The sequence below is a fragment of the Homo sapiens genome, chromosome 21 (assembly GCF_000001405.40).
Source record: "Homo sapiens chromosome 21, GRCh38.p14 Primary Assembly".
NCBI classification, from domain to species: domain Eukaryota; kingdom Metazoa; phylum Chordata; class Mammalia; order Primates; family Hominidae; genus Homo; species Homo sapiens.
Window position 1 is genome coordinate 36,539,781 of NC_000021.9, and position 16,073 is coordinate 36,555,853.

The 16,073-nt window shown below is 48.8% G+C and overlaps 1 protein-coding gene across 2 annotated transcripts in view; it reads right to left on the reverse strand.

Annotated features, from left to right (window-relative positions):
* CLDN14 (claudin 14) overlaps nt 1–16,073 on the reverse strand; it is a 115,949-nt gene that overhangs the window by 79,160 nt on the left and 20,716 nt on the right. The window contains exon 1 of one of the 2 annotated variants that reach the window (NM_001146078.3): nt 2,785–3,004. The exons of the other annotated variant lie outside the window; for it this stretch is intronic. The gene's annotated coding sequence lies outside the window, so the exon portion shown is untranslated. Of the gene's footprint in view, nt 1–2,784; nt 3,005–16,073 lie in introns of those variants that run through there. 2 annotated transcript variants of the gene reach the window in all.

Sequence of the window (16,073 nt, forward strand, 5' to 3'; positions counted from 1 at the left end):
GTGTGTGTGTGCAGTATGTCTGCAGATGAGTGTGTGCGGAGTATGTCTGCAGAGTGAGTGTGTGTGCAGAGTGAGTGTGTGTGTGCAGTATGTCTGCAGATGAGCGTCTGTGCAGAGGGAGTGTATGATTGGAGTGTGTCTGTGGAGTGTGTGTGTGGAGTGAGTGTATGTGTAGCATGTGGAGTATGTATGTGTGTAGTATGTGGTATATGTGTGTAGTATGTGATGTATGTGTGTGGTATGTGTATGGTGTGGTGTGTGTGTGGTATGTGGTATGTATGTGTGTGGAGTGAGTGTGTGTTGTGTGGTGTGGTCCGTGTGTGAAGTGAGTGTGTGTGGTGTGTGGTGTGTGTGTGTTTATACAGTCATCCCTCAGTATTCACAGGGGATTGGCTCCAGGACCCCTGAGGATTCCAAAATCCTTGGCTGTTCAAGTCCCTGATATTAAATGGCGTAGTGTTTGCATGTGGCCAATGTACGTCCTCTCATACACTGCAAATCATCCCTAGATGACGTATAATACCCAACACAATGTAAAGCTATGTAAATAGTTGTTATACTGTGTTTTTATTTGTATTGTTTTTTATTGTTGTGTTATTAATTTTTCCAAATATTTTTGATTCATGAATGTGGAACCTGCGGGTATGGAGAGCCAACTGTACATCACATAGGAACATATCTAATTACCAGCTGATTTGTTCCAGAAAAGAAATCAATGGGGTGCAGTTGAATGGTGGCCTTAACCTCTCCTACTGATATTGAACGCTGGGCAGCATGGCCCTCTGAAATCCCACTCGTTCCTGCCAGGACCAGGGGGGTTTGAGGAGTGTCTCTTTGAGAAAGTGGCTGTAGGTCAAGTGCTGAGAGAGGGGAGGGAGGGACTGGGGGGCAGGGCTCCAGGTGGAGACATCTTGTGAGGTACCTAAGAGTGGTGAATTCAGGGTGTGAGGAGAGGGCAGAGAGGCCAACATCAGCCAGACCTTACAGGTGGTGATAAATAGTTAGATGTTTATTCTAAGGGAAGAGGAGGCCACAGAATTGTTGTAAGCAGTGGATGGACATGAGGTGACTTGGGTTTTAAAAGGCCACTATGGTGACTCTGTAGCAAGCTGATTGGAGGTGGGCAAGAGTAGAAGGTATTTTCACAGTCCAAGTGAGATATCAGTTCCTTAAACAAGGACAGTGGCTGTGGAGGGGGAGAGGAGTGGACTGATTCCACATACACTTTGCAGGTAGAATTGACAGGCTTTGCTAATGGGTTGGATGTTAGAGTTGAGAAAAGAGGAGAAACCAAGGATAACTTCCAGGTTTCTGGTTTAAGCCAGTGGTGGTGCCAATTCCAGAGAGAGGACTTGATGTGGACGGGCTGGTGGGGAGAACATGGAAGTCAACAGTAAGAGTTCTTCATCTTCTGCAGGATACCTCCTACCTTTCCGTCAGTCAGTTTATCAATCGGGTACTTGTTGAGGGCTTATCATGTATTAAGCTCTGTGCATTTACCTTGACATATTTTTAAAGATGATTTGAAATGACTTCTAATAAAACTCACAGGTACAAGAAAACTACTGAAAAGGTGCATAGGTGAAAGAACAAGAGCCAAGTAACAAAAGGATGAAAAGAATCATATCTAAGTCCTAATCCTAAAAGAGACTGCTGCAACTACAAGCAAAAAACCTTAACTCTGAGTTCCCCAGGAACCAAAGCAAAAAGGGAAAGTTGAGTTTTATAAAGCCGATTGTCTAATAAAAAGAAGCATGCTGGCTTACTCAGAGAAATAAAATTTCGCCCTTATTTTCAACTTCGAAAGCATTTTTCTTACTACCTACCTTCTGTAAGGGCCAATGATCAATATAGTGGAATTGTTATATTGTCAATAACAATTTTACACAAAATACAAAAGATTTCTGTATAAAACCTAAAAAACTGGTGTCCCAAATGCCCGGTAGAATGGACTATCAAGGGCACTGGCCAGGGGCACAGGTCTGTAGCAAGGGAATACTTTGGCTTGTGTCTTACTGTCTTAGGTTTTAATAGTGTCTTTGTGACGAGTACCTTGCTACCCACTGACTTAATTACAGTTTCTTTTGTCTTAGAATGTAAATTTCTTTTGTTACCCCCCCCCAATCATGTGTGTGCATGTATGTGTGGGTGTGTGTGAACCACTGGAGTTGGCTGTAGACTTTCTTTTACTTTTGCAGCCAGAGTCTCCCTCTGTCGCCCAGGCTGGAGTGCAGTGGTGTGATCTCCGCTCACTGCATCCTTTGCTTCCCAGGTTCAAGGGATTCTCCTGCCTCAGCCTCCCAAGTAGCTGTGATTACAGGCACTCACGCACCACCACCATGTCCGGCTAATTTTTGTATTTTTAGTAGAGACGGGGTTTCACCATCTTGGTCAGGCTGGTCTTGAACTACTGACCTCATGATCCGCCCGCCTCGACCTCCTAAAGTGCTGGGATTACAGGCGTGAGCCACCGCTCCTGGCCGGCAATAGACTTTCTAAAACATTTAAATAAACTTCGCACCCCTTCTCACGCTGCCCGGAAAATTCTGACTTCCCTCACCTTGGGAGAGCAAGGCTCATATAGCAGACGTTGCAGACCTTGTTTAGGTCACACTTAAGATAAAGGAAGATGCAAACTCCTTTTTTTCTGATCAGCTGATCCCCTGTGACTGACGGCCGGGGAGCCCCTATGGCACCAGTCTGTAGGCTACAGCCTGAGCCAGATTCCATGCTAAAAGTCCCGAGGCTGGCAGTGAAAGAAACCCCCCGGGGCTGGAAACTCACCCCTCCTGGGCGGCTGCACACCAGCTCATGGCCGCTCTGGGGTCTGTGAGGGCCCGGCGCCCGTTCTCCCCAGGGAGCCGCGTGACTCTCCTTGATCCGGCCTCCCCTCGAGCGACAGGCCTCCCAGAGGCCCCCCAGCAGCCCCCGAGCAGTCCCCGGAGCGCTGGGGGACTCTGCAGCGCGCAGGTGACCACGCAGAGACAGCCCCAGCGCGATGAATAATTGAGGCGCAGAGTGGAATTACCTCTGTGGGCTCCGAGTCCCTCCCGCAGCCCGCACCTGCCCCTGCCCCTGTCCCTGCCTCTGCCCCAAGGACTACTGCTCTTTTCAGAAATGACGCCAGTACCAGCACGTGCAAAATGCCTTGCAGCCTTGCTGGGAACACATTTGCATACTCAGTTTCAGGTTTAAATGCCTGCGCATAAAACAGGATTAAATAGCACAACCTGGCGGGGGCAGGGGGGAGCACAAGGGTCTCCCTTCCACCTGGCCGGAGGTGGGTGAAAATCCCAGCAGATTTCAACAACCCGCCTCCCACCCTACACCGCAAGTAGGTGCGCGGAGGGACTCAACTGCTGGGGCAGGGGCTGCCCTCTGGGGTAGAGGGACCCCCAGTTTCCAAAGTGAGGGCTCAGAGAGCACCCAACTTCTCCGTTCTCTCCTTTTTTCATTCATTTTTCCTCCAACAGATATTTATTGAACACCTACTATGTGCCAGCACTGTGAAGGGGGACAGTAGGGTCTATAGCAGTGAACAAAAAATGTCCCTGCTCTTTGAGTTGGGGGAGACAGACAATTAGAAAAAGATTCAAAGAAATAACATAGTTCCCGTATGAAGATAAGAGCAACGACCAGGGAGAGGCAAACAAAAGAGAGTGATAGGGAAGTTTCTCAGGATGTTCAGGAGGGCCTTTCTGTCCTGCTGTGCTTAGATTCTGCCTATAACTTAATAAGTATGTTATCATTTGATAGTAATACTTACCAAACACTTCTCATGTTCTGGGCACTATAATAAGTGCTTTAGCACTTTGGCTTTACATAATCGTTGTAACTACCTAATGACATGGATCTCTAATTGTGCCCATTTTACAAAAGAGTACAATTGAGGCAATGGGTCCTGAGGCCAGTAGCTGAAGAATGGCGGAGCTGCGACTTGAACCCAGGCATCTAGTTCTAGGACCCCACTCTGAAATACTGCACTGTAATTTACATATATTCATTTCCCCTCGTTTCCAAATGTGGGACACGGCCAAAAGCAAGCAAATATGCATAAGGAGCTTCTGACACGTAAACAGCCACCCCCATACTGTGGCATTTCTCCTGTTCTTGCCTACAGTTCTAGTTGATTCCTAAAGTGGGAGAGAGCGTGCATGATGATAGGGACTGTTTACTTAGCAAAGAAACTGAGTCAGCTCAGGATCCCCAAGGCTGCAGCCAGGGAAGCCTGTGTCATGGATTCAACCGTCTGTGCTGAGCCGCACCTGCACTGGCTGAATTGCTAGCAGCCGGGTTTCAATTTGGGGACCCAATGGGTGACACCCAGGAACCCAGAAGCCACACCAGCCCTTGGCTCCCTCCAACCCAGGTTTCCATTACCATGGTGCTGCCTGCCAGCTTGGCAGGATCACACTACACCTTGGGCAGGTCCTTGCCCTGGGCCCCCTCTGCTGCCATCCATCCCTCTCCCTGAAAAAGGTGGTGGGAAGGACAATGGCCTTTTCTTGGCTGAGGAGTGCCAGGGAACCAAGCCTCTCAGTACAGAAGGAGGGAGCAGCCGAGGCTGTCTGACATCCAGACCCCATCACAGGGTAGGCCTGCTGGATTGTGGGTGTCTTACATTTGCTCATCCTCCAAGACTAGAACAAAGTTCTCCCAGGCCTCAGACAGTCATCCCTGCCTGCAGCTATTGACTGTTTGCATAGGAGGGGATGGAGTTGGGATTTAGGAAGGAGAGGCAAATTTGAGGCTGGGGAGAATTTGAATTTTCCTGTGCACTAACCACAGGCATCCCCTCCTCCAGAGCACACTCACTCTCAGACGCCCAGGGAGCTAAGCAAAATTTCTCTGTATTTTATCCAAATATGCCGTGGACTTTGAAATGAACTCTTTACACCTCCTTCCTGCTGACCCGACTGCAAATCAGCTTTTGATGGGATTGGACAGCTTGGAGAGATGGGCAGCGATCACGCTGAAATATGATGACAGGGGCAAGACTGCAAGGACATCCGCGAAGTAAGACATGTGCACAGAGCAACCATGTGAAAACAATTAGGACGACAAATTTACTAATTGCTGAAAGTAACTTAATAACAAAACCACAATGCTCTCTGTTATTAATCCTGGCTACTGCAGCGGGTGCCAATTGAAGTTTGCTTGCAGGAGGGATTGTAAGTATCAGGCCAGTGCCCTAGCATTTGTGGATACTAAGTGAAAAGAGGTTGCATCTCTGTTGGTAACTGAAAAATAAACCGCTGTTCAGCCTCCTACCAATGCAGGTGGCCATAGGGATTTGAGGCATTTCTGAAGCCCATGGAGAGAGGGAGGCAGGGCTCTCTTGCCTTTCTGTGACTCTCTCTTTTTTGCATTCTCCACTTAAACCAGAGCAACGGGCATTACTCAGATTTTGGAGGGTTAAGAATTGATTTTTAAGAAACACAAATTCAAATGCAATATTCTTAAAGCGTTTTAAGGTGGAGTGGGTAGAAATGAGGTAGCAAGGGACTCCATTCTTGGGTTGGGTGAGGAGCCTTCAAAAGTTCTCTGAGTTCCCAAGTCTTTCACAGGCTGCTTGCTACACATAATCCTTCACAGAAATTAGGTATCAGTGCCTAGGCATCGGGAGTGAATGCAGTATTTCTGGAGGCAAGGGAGTCCCTTAGCCCTCCAGAAGATCAAAGACAACCATCAAATGTGTCACCTTCAATAAGTCATGGGATGCAAAGGACCATAATTTCCCTTACTAGAGGGGCTCTTTGTGCCTATATTTCTCTTAAGTTGCCTAAGTCTGCAAACATTTGGATCATTCAAGCCTCATTTTTTTTCCTTGAAATATTTATAAAAAAGGCTGAATTATTATTTTTTGAAATATGTTAGTATCTGCCCCCACTCTGTATTTGACCATTTATATCTCAATGAGAAATTGCATTTATTAAAGCTGGCAGCTCTGTGTGTACTTTATTGTGATGTTTTTGTAATTACAATGAGCAGTGTAGCTTTTCTTCCCCTCCCAATTAAAATGATCCTGGCCCAGAATTTCAGAGTCTTCAAGGCCAAGTTTGCTTCTCCTGGAGCATCCCCAGGAGATGTCTGCCCAGGCGGGAGGAGGCAACGAAACCTCTTCTTGGACCCAGGACTTCACCAAGGTCCTGCAAGAGCCCTTCAGCCCTCCCTCCAGCAAGAGCGAGAACCAGTGTGGTGGCCTCAATGGGTCCTCCCGCCCAACAGCTGCCTTTCAGGAAACAGAGACTGTAACCTGGGACTTATTAAAAGTTTGGAGAGAAATAATATTTCTGAGGTTGTTCAACCTCTGGCTACTTTGAAGTTTATTCTTGGATTAATCCAGATCTTCAGAGACCTGCATATGGGCATGCATTATTTTCACTTTTTGCAGAATCACTTTCACTAAATTGCATGTTAGTCTTATCTTATTGACCTACTTCTAAAGAATATTTGGTTAAGAAAACAAATTCTCAGGCCTCATCCCAGAGCCTGATTCAGCATTTCCAGGAACACGCTGGAAAGCTGTCAGTGTCAAAGCGTCTCTGTGGTCAGGGTGATTGCCCTGTGACATATCTTTGAGAGTTCATGGCTAGAAACAGCTGTGCTTGTTCTGAGCAATGGGCTTATTTTTTATCACTAGACACTGTGATACTTCTAACTAATCATGTCATTTCTTTGGGTTGACTGTAGGAACCTCAGATTCAAATCCACCCCTAGCAAAAATGTGCACGGTCTCAGCACAGGTAATTTTTGTTTATTTTCTAGCAACTGCCTTTACCTTCTTTCCCCTCTGTTGAACTTTCCTCAAGCACTTACCTTTTTTATTATGGAAAATGTCAGACACAATGTAAACGCTTACCTTTTTATTACAAAAAATTTCAAACATAGGCAAGAAGAGCAAACATAATGAGTTCTTATGTATCCATCACCAAACTTCAATAATTTTCAACTTACAGCCAACCTTTAAATATTTATTTTTAATCTTACCAAGATTATTGGAATCTTCGTAAGTCTCCCAAATTCTTTTTCTAATGAGATAGAGAGTACATTATAAATAACCACAACAAATCAGCAGTTCTTACATTTAAAAGTGATGTTGCCTCCCCACCCCTAAGAGGACATTTGGCAATGTCTGGAGACATTTTTCATTGTCACAACTGGGCAGGGAGGAGTGTTGCTCTTGGCATCTAGTGGGTAGAGTCAGCGATGCTGCTCAATGCCCTACAACGCACAGGACAATCCCCAAAACAAAGAACGATCAGCCTCAAATGGCCATGGTGCTGAGGTTGTGCACTAAATTAAAATGAGTATTTTTCAAGTTAGACTATTCCTAGGAAATTGACTTTAAAGCACAACTTGTGTTTTCAAGTTGACAAATGTTCTAAATATCATAGGTTTGGTGGTTTATAGGGTATTCATGGTATACACGCTGGAATATCAGTAAGAAACTAGTTGACGGTGGTTGTCTCTGGGGAGAACTTGGTGGCAGGGCAGGATAAAGACTTACTTTTTCCTCTATCCCCATTTGTGTCTTTTATATTTTATAATGCATGCAGGTCTTACCTACTTGAAATACATTTGAATAACATGGAGTACGTGGATGTTTTCAAAGGATCTGAAAATAAAGTTTTTATTTTAAAGAAAGCTTTTGAAATGGTTGTGTAAAGAGACCAAAAAGAACCTTCCGACAGAGCTTTCCAGAGTACTGTGAGCCTGTCAGACACCTAGTGTGGCTCAGCAGCGCCCGGGCCATTAAGGGAATCAGAAACACGTGGAGAGGCGGCCGCTGCTCCCGGCATGATGGATCAATTGTTCGAGAGCGAAGTTAAATGCGAGGGTCCCTGTGCCAAGCCTCTGACACTAATGAGCCCTCAACTCCAGGAAGCAGGTCTCCCAGGGCCAGGCAGTGACGTGGCTTCTGGGCAGCAGACAGGAGGGCTGGGAGCCGCCTGCAGCCTGGCCGGAGCTGGCCACAGGATAAGGTCCACTCCTGCCTCCATCAGCTGGTGGCCATCTGCACCACCCTCTGATCCTCCAAAGATGGTCACTCACCCGCTGATCCTCCAAAGGACACAGCTACGTTGAGCTGTAAATGGTGACAGAAGTGAGGCAAACCCCTTGCTTCTTTTGAAAAGAAAGGCCCAGCGAACACATCTTTGGAAACATTACCTGGCGGTGTCACTTCCATTCTTAAAACCCCAGTGGCTTTTGGCTGACCTTGGTCCCCCTCTTTCTCCTCGCGTCCTCTGCCTCTCAACTCTGGCTCCCGGGCTTTTTGTCAGTCCCTTGGATTCACTGCACTCCCCTCCACTGCAGGGCCCCTGCAGATGCCGTTCCTTCCACCAGGCACACCCTCTGTCTCCTCTTTTCCTTGTTACCTCCTCCAGGAAGCCCCCCTTCCTCCACTCCCCTAGTAAGTCAACCCCCCTCATGACAGGCCATCCAAAACCTGGGTCCTTTTCCTCCCAGCTCCTGGAGAGCTGCATCTTCACCATCTGTGCCATCATGTGATAAATGCCAATCTCCCGGCTGGGCCATGAGCTCTGGAAGCAGCATCTAAGTCCAGTTGGTTTGCCCGTCCCAGAGCTGCATCAGGCCCATATTCACTGGGACTCACTAAATGTTCATTGACCAAGAGACCTAATGAAGAACACAAACAGCCCCGCCCCAGAGGCAGGCATCAATACGCAGCTCATCGAGGGAATCCTGGAAGAGCAGCCAAGCTCAGGGGAGCAGAAGGGTCTCCAAGATGTGGGGGAATGGGGTCTGGGCAGCCTGGAAGCTTCCACGGCTTCTCCAGGGTGGAGACCAAGTCTGTGGCAGGTTAGAGGGTTGCGTGGATGGTTACCCTGACTGCCCCACGGTATCTCCTGCTTCTCCCCTCTCCCGCATGGTCCCCAATGGAGTAAGGCTGACTTCCTTGGTGCCAAAGGCATCGATGACCCCCTGGGATTGGTCAGTTGATGTGGGGAGGCCAAGGGTGGAAGAGCTAAGAGCTCCTCCAGGGTGATCTGGGGAGAATGAGGAAGCCCCTTCCACACTGACCCATGAGAAAGGGGAAATGTCTTCCTCTCTCCAAAGCAAGGCCTTCCCTGACTGCAGTGACCCCAGTGGCTGCCCCTTCTCCAGGCTCCCACCACACCCTGGGCACATTCCAGTTGCTGCATAGTTCACGATGATGCTCTTTCTAGATGTTTGGTGGCCAGCTAGGCTGTGAGCTCCCTGAGGGTAAGGACTGTGGAATATTTTTTCTTAATACTCAAACCATGCACAATGGCCCAATTATTAAGGTACCCAACAACCTTCTACAGAATGAGCTTATCATTGCTATGGGGCATGACACAGACGATTCATAGCTGGTGTTTTTTTTTTTTTTTAACTTGTCCATCTTGCTACGATTTCTGTCAGCATGAGCAGAAATGGAGATTGAAAGACAGGGCTGTTGGCTTCAAGCAAGACTTTTATATTCCTTCATGTGTGCATTACACACACACTCTCTCTCTCTCTCTCTCTCCTCCCCACCCCTGCCCCCCTCCGGCTACTGAGAGTCCTCGCTGAAGCCAAAAGTGGTAGACATGTAAGAAAATGCTGCAAAATGAGAAAGATGTATTTGGTGTTGAAAAGGAAATTGATGAGGAGAAGGAGCGTGTGGCCCCCGGGTAAGGGGAGCTGCCCTCCCAACTGGCAGGTGTGCAGCTTTCTCAGGGCACCCCACAGAGGCCCTGGAAGGCATTATTCCTTTGCTTGCTTTCTGTGGAGAACAAATCACCTCTAAAACATTTCCCAGAGGAAGGGCCGGTGGGGCGAGAATTACTTCTGGGGGTTGACCAGCCACAGGCTCAGCCAGAGAGCAGCAGCTGCTGTCAGAAAGATCACGGTTGGCCAGCATAGCCACTTGTCAGCACACAACGGCCCTGGAGGAACTCACCTGCCCCAGGTAAAGACAGTGAGACAAGGGTGGACATCGGTGAACTTCCTCTCTTCCTTCAGGTCTTCACTCAAGTGTCACCTCCCTGGGGACCCTCCCCTGGCCACATTCCTACTCGCAATCGTCCCCTGGCCTTGTGGCCTGCACACTTTCCCACCCCTGTCATGCCTGATTTTTCCCCTGAGCACGGATGACGCTTGAAAGCCCATTCATGTTACTGATTCTCAACATCTTTCTCCTGTGATTGCAGCTGGAATGAGGATAGACACTGCACCTGCACTGTCCCCTGCTCTGTCCCCAGCAGCTACAACACTGCCTGGCACATAGCATGACATTGGTATTTATTGCATGGTTGAAAGAATGAATGAATTGGAGTCGTTGAAGGCTGCCTTTTAGAATGGTGACTACCCTGTATTCAGATTCTTTTCAAGATATTGTCTTTCTAAATGCCCCAGAGTACTAGGAGGACACAACCTACGTTTAAATTTAAAAACACCCAGTGCATTTCCAAAAGAAAGTTGCTTTAAGTTCGCTGCATTAAATTAAATTCACTGAACTTTCTCAGGGCTACCCTGAGATAGCCCAGACATGCAGCGGGTCTTGGGAGGCTTGGCCATTGTCACCATGATACCAACTTGGCTCCTCTCCCCCTGACCCCAAAAGTCGAATAAGCTCTTTACCTTCATTGGTGTGGAAATAGAGCTCAGGGCAGTTTTAGTAGCTATATGTGGAGGGAGAATTGGAGGGGCCCTAAAGTAAGTTGGTTTGCTAAGAGCCACCCTTTCAAGAGAAGTCAAAGGGCAGTGCCAAATCCTGCTCATCGCCAGGGTTTCTCAGGTGCTGTCTGGAAAGTTGGGCCCATGGCATCAGCCCGGTTTCTAACCTGGTCCCCACCACAGGCCTGGATCACATGCTCCCAGTCCCCTCCCAGTTCCCATCTTAGGTCCGGGAACTCCTCCTGGCCTTCTCTAGTTCTTGGAGACCTGTCAAGAGGTCCCTGCTCCATCCAACTCTGCTCATATCCCACAAATTCTCTATCTGCTCACTGTCTAATGCCGGCAACAGTCACAGTGCAAGGCAAGAGGCTCTGGGGGCACCAGCCACGGTCCCTACAGAGATGGTAGCAGGTTGAGGAGAGTCCTTCCCAAATTCATGCTCACCCAGAACCTCAGAATGTGGCCTTATTTGGAAATAGGATTGTTGCAGATGGTGAGGATGAGGTCACCCTGGAGCAAGATGGGCCCTACTCCAAAATGACTGTTGTCCTTAGAAGCAGGCACCAGGGGAAGGCCACGTGAAGAGGGAGGCAGAGACTGCAGTGACACAGCTGTGAGCCAAGGCCAAGGAATGGTGTGGCCAGCCGGCAGCCACCAGAGTGGGGAGGGGGCACGGAACAGACTCCCCTTGGAGCCTCCAGAAGGAACCAGCCCTTCCTACCCCGCAATTTCGGACTTCCTGTTCCCAGACCTGTGAGACAATAAATCTCTTGTACTTTGTTACAACTGTCCTTAGCAAACAAATCCAGAGAGACCACGATGGCTTGGCCCCCTCCCCTTGGCCTCTGCGCTGGGAGGGAGGACCCCAGTGAGATCTCCGAGCAGATGCACTGTTCCCTGCGGACAGGATTTATTCCTGGAGCCTCTGCCTCCCGTAAGCTGGCGGGCAGACCCAGTCCAAACTTGGCACTACCTCCCACTGCCTCCTTTTCTTGCCTCTCTTCCCTCTTCAGCCCACAAACTCCTTGAGGTCTGAGCATCATTTTGTCCATGGCTTTGGGCAGGGTGGCTGGCACAGGGTAGGGGTACCACAAATAACTGTTGGAGTGTAGCCAGCCCCTTGTTTAGGGAAGAGATGGGTCTAACAGCTGGGCATGCTGGTCTTGTGATCTGGATCTGAGATGCCGCCTTGGGTGGTGGGTAGAGGGATGACCCTGAGCCAGCCCTGTTGCAACAGCTCCTCCTGAAGATCCCAGATGCTCCAAGTGCCATCTCTAGGTTAGCTGTGCTGTAGGATCACAGCAGGGGGACAAATTTTCACGTGAAAAGAACAATCACATCAAGCAAAATGCTCACTCACTGACAGAGATCAATGAAGCAGACAGCAACTCATTGCAACTGCTCCTGTCCTGTCGGTCGAGAGGAGAGTGCAGCATGACCCAACAGCCCTGCTGCTCCCAGCCGCAGACAAGCCATCCTTCTTGGCTGCTGTTTTCATCATTTTTTAAAGGACTGTTGAGGGTGGGAGGAAGTAGGAAAGGAGGTGGTTTCATGTGAGATTTCTACAGTTTGCTAACAGTAAAAAATGGGAGAAGTGATAAAGTTACTACATTCATCAGTCATCCACCCCGAAACATTTGCAACTGATTATGTTCCTCAGAATTGGCACTGAGTCATGAGGTATTCTTGTAAGCAGTTTGCTGGCATGAGCCAAAGGCAGGAAAACTAGAAAGTACCTCTGAAACACGTTCAGAAGAAACATTCTCCCAAGTAATAAAAAAGATATGGAGACCAGTAGTTGCTTTTCTCAGCGGCAAAATATCCAGCGATACTTTAAAAAAATGGAAATAAAATGAGAATGGTTCTGGCAACTGCAAAGACGCATGCACTTTTGCTGCCTATCTTAACAGACAAGTGGGCTTTCTGAGTCCTGTGCTCAGTATAAGATGCCCCATGTGAAAGGGAGCTGATGGCCATGTTGAGCGGGCACACTTAAGGACACTTAGGGGTTTATGTTATATTTATGGCCAAGTTAAGTTGATCTGTTACAGGACTCATTATCCTAAAAGGGTCACTAATGACATTTGCTGGAAATTTTGCCCAGAATGCTTTCAGTTTGACCCTCTAGAGATGGCCATGGTTGGGTTGAATTAAGGCTCATAACTGAGCCAGAAAAATAAACCTGATTTATGGCCAAACTGGTTTTTACTGACCTGTGAAGTAAATGAAACTTGAATCCCTATGATAAAACAAGACAAAAACAAAACAAAACAAAACAAAACAAAAAATCTTCCTGAATTGGAAAAAAAAACTCTCTATTTTCTAGAATGAATGCATAGGAATGTCAGGCCATTCTCAGAACAGCACGGGTCTCGGCTTTGAAACCTTGGCCTCGCTGCTGGGAGGAAGCTTTGATCACCACCCCTTTTCTTGCTCTGAGCTTGAATGTCTCTTGCTTTGGGATTTCTGTTTCTGGCACTTTCTGGACTACTCCCTTGGACATGTGTTTTAACCTGCCTGAGACTTGGGGGTGCAGAGGCCCCTCCTCAACCTCACCTCTAAGTGGGATAACCCAGGTTTCCCGCCACCTAGGGCCCAGCTGACGCACACCAAATCCCTTGGCCTTGGGCCTCAACAGGAGAGTGCGCAACAGATGGGAGCTAAAGCATTGGCTGGGCGTCACCAGCTCTTCTATGAGGCTGTTGAGCTAGGACCAAGGCATTACACGTGAAGGTAGCTGCAGCCTCGAGGCCCCCGTCTGTTGGAAGGACTCCCCTCGAGCTGACCAAGGGCACTGATGGCGTCTGCTATAGTCTTACCTCTGCCTTCAGTGGACCCTTGGTTTCCTGAAGTAGGAGGTGCAAAAGGCGAGAGGAAGGGGAAGGTGGATTTGGGAAGGGGGTAGATTTCAACACAGGAGGGGGCCAGCTGCTCAGCAAGGCAGTGATGCCCACCTGAGGAACAGGCCCCTGGTGGTCTCTGGTCCAGACTCTGCTGGCAAGCTCTTGCAGTATACGCCTTCCGGTGACTGTCCCTTTGATGCCTCCTTCTGAGCCAATGCTAGAAATGGCCAACACCAGCATCCAAGGCCCTGCCCGCCCATTTCTTGCCACTCCTTTCCCCGCACCCCATCTTGGCCCACTTTGGAGACTCCTTAGGAAGGGAGGTGGTTGGGTGGGATGCCCCACACTTCGTGGTCAGCCAGCCCTCCCCTACCACAGCCAAGCAGAAGACAGCTAAACTTCTGACATTGGCGGTCTCACTGCTAGCCCCTAGAAGGACCTGCTACAGTCAGCAGGACCTGCTACAGTCAGCAGCACCTGCCAAGAAGATATTCTTACTCCCCTTTATGGTGAGGACAACTGTGTGTGAGATGAGGGATGAGGCATGGCCGGCCCACATCATTCCATCTGTGGAGACAAAAGTGACTCCATCTTGGATGCTAATCGCCATGTTGACTCTGTTTAGCCACCGCCCTGAGAATGTTGATGTCATCGTGCATATCATTGGCTATGGCGAATATAGCGTCCTCGACAGTCCTGGAGGTGGCCTTCAATTGTCTCTAGAGAGCATGTACCCCCTTTCCCTATGGTATATAAGCCCGGGTCTGGGGGTAACAGTGGGACATCTACGTGCCTTGCCCCTGCCCAAGTCCATGCCTCTGTCTGTAAGTTCCCCAGTAAGCCACCCTTTACTGACAAACTGGATGTGTCTGCCTTGTTCTCTGGTTTCTCTGCTGTTTTGACATTTGGAGGCCACTTTGGATATATGGCCCTTTCATGAGACAGCATCCCAACCCCCCCAGGCCCTGGGCTCGGCGGTGCCTCCTGCAGTAATTCCCACAAGGAAGCAGCTCCTGCTCATTCATTCCTTCAAGGAACTTTGATTGTTTCCTGCTGCAGGCCTGGTCCCTGGCGCTCCAGGAACACAGACCCAGTCTCAAAAGAAGGGCTTGTCCAGGTACAACCACAACACAGGGTTACAGGTGCCCCGTGAGGAAAGCAGAGGCAGGTGCGTAACAGCCATCACAGGAGATAAACGGCCACACAAGAGAAGCTTAGTCGGGTCAGGCCCGCCTTGTTGGGAGTGTTTCATTCACTTATTCCCCACAACATTCGTGCAAGATGGATACTATAATTACTGCCGTTTTACATATGGGGAAGGCAAGGCACAGAGAGGTTAAGAAGCTTGCCCAGAGTCACACAGCTAGGATTCTGAGGTCAGAGTCGGCATTCTGATTTTTGAGCCACTAGATTGAAGGGTTGCCAGCAGTACAGGCCTATAGATGTCTTACCGCCCCACCACCCGTTGATAGTTAAAGTTCCCTGAGGGCAGAGGAGGATGCCACGGGATGTGTTATCATCAAGGAGGCACTTGGTAAGTACTGATTACCTCCCGCCCCTGCCTCTGCAGCACTGACAGGCCTGGGAAGGGTCTGCAAAGTCTGATGGTCTCCCCATGACCCTCCAATTCTAAAAGCTCCCCTGACACATGCCATTCCCCAAATTCTTCCATATTTATAGAATTGCTTCCTCAATCATTGAGCATCTTCAACACACTGCAGGGTCCCCTGAGAGCAACAGCCAGCCCCAGCCTCCCTGGCATTCCTGAAATGCCCCTGGGCTAACCAGAGGCCTGGCACATGGCAAGCCATCCGCAGGGATTTGTCAAATGAACGAGTGAATGGATACCTATAACTCCGTCTAACTCAGAGGCTTTGAAGAGGCTTGCTGTTCTAGAATGCCTATAACCATGCTTCACTCTGAGTGTTGCTTTTCTAGTATTTGGAGTGCATGAGGAGGGGTTTCAAGCGAATTGCCAAGATATAGCAGGCTAAAACCGCCTTGGTTTTGCCAGAAATCCCTGGAAAACACAAGCCAAAAGAGGAGGTCTTGGGTCTGGGTGACCCGTACTCAGCACGGGAATTGTCCTGTGGAGAAGGTGGTTCGGCTCCCGTGCCCTGCACGGGGTGCGCTGTTATGCTTCAAAACAGGACTTATCAACGATTTAGTCTCATTAAGTTGTAAGAAAACAGGCAGCGTGTTCCAAGGTCGTAAGTTTTCTCAACGTTCAAATGTTTCCAATGTTTTGTAAAACCAAAGAGTGCAGGAGCCCACGGGGCTTTGCTGGGGTGATGGATGGATGTGGAGTTGGTGAGGAATTTTTCCAGGCTGCCTTGAAAGCCAGCTCATTATGACCCCATGGGCTCCAGACGTTTTCTCGTTCCTAAGGCTGGTCAGGTGGTATGTGGGACATTGCCCAAAGATGTCTAGGTCCCACCCTCCATTTTTAGCTTTACCAGAAGCTCCTGAGACTGCAAATGTGAACACACACAGCCAGGCATCTCCCAATTTTCTACTCCCGATTTTCTATAGGTCAGTGTGTGTGTGTGTGTGTGTGTGTGTGTGTGTGTGTGTGTGTGTGAG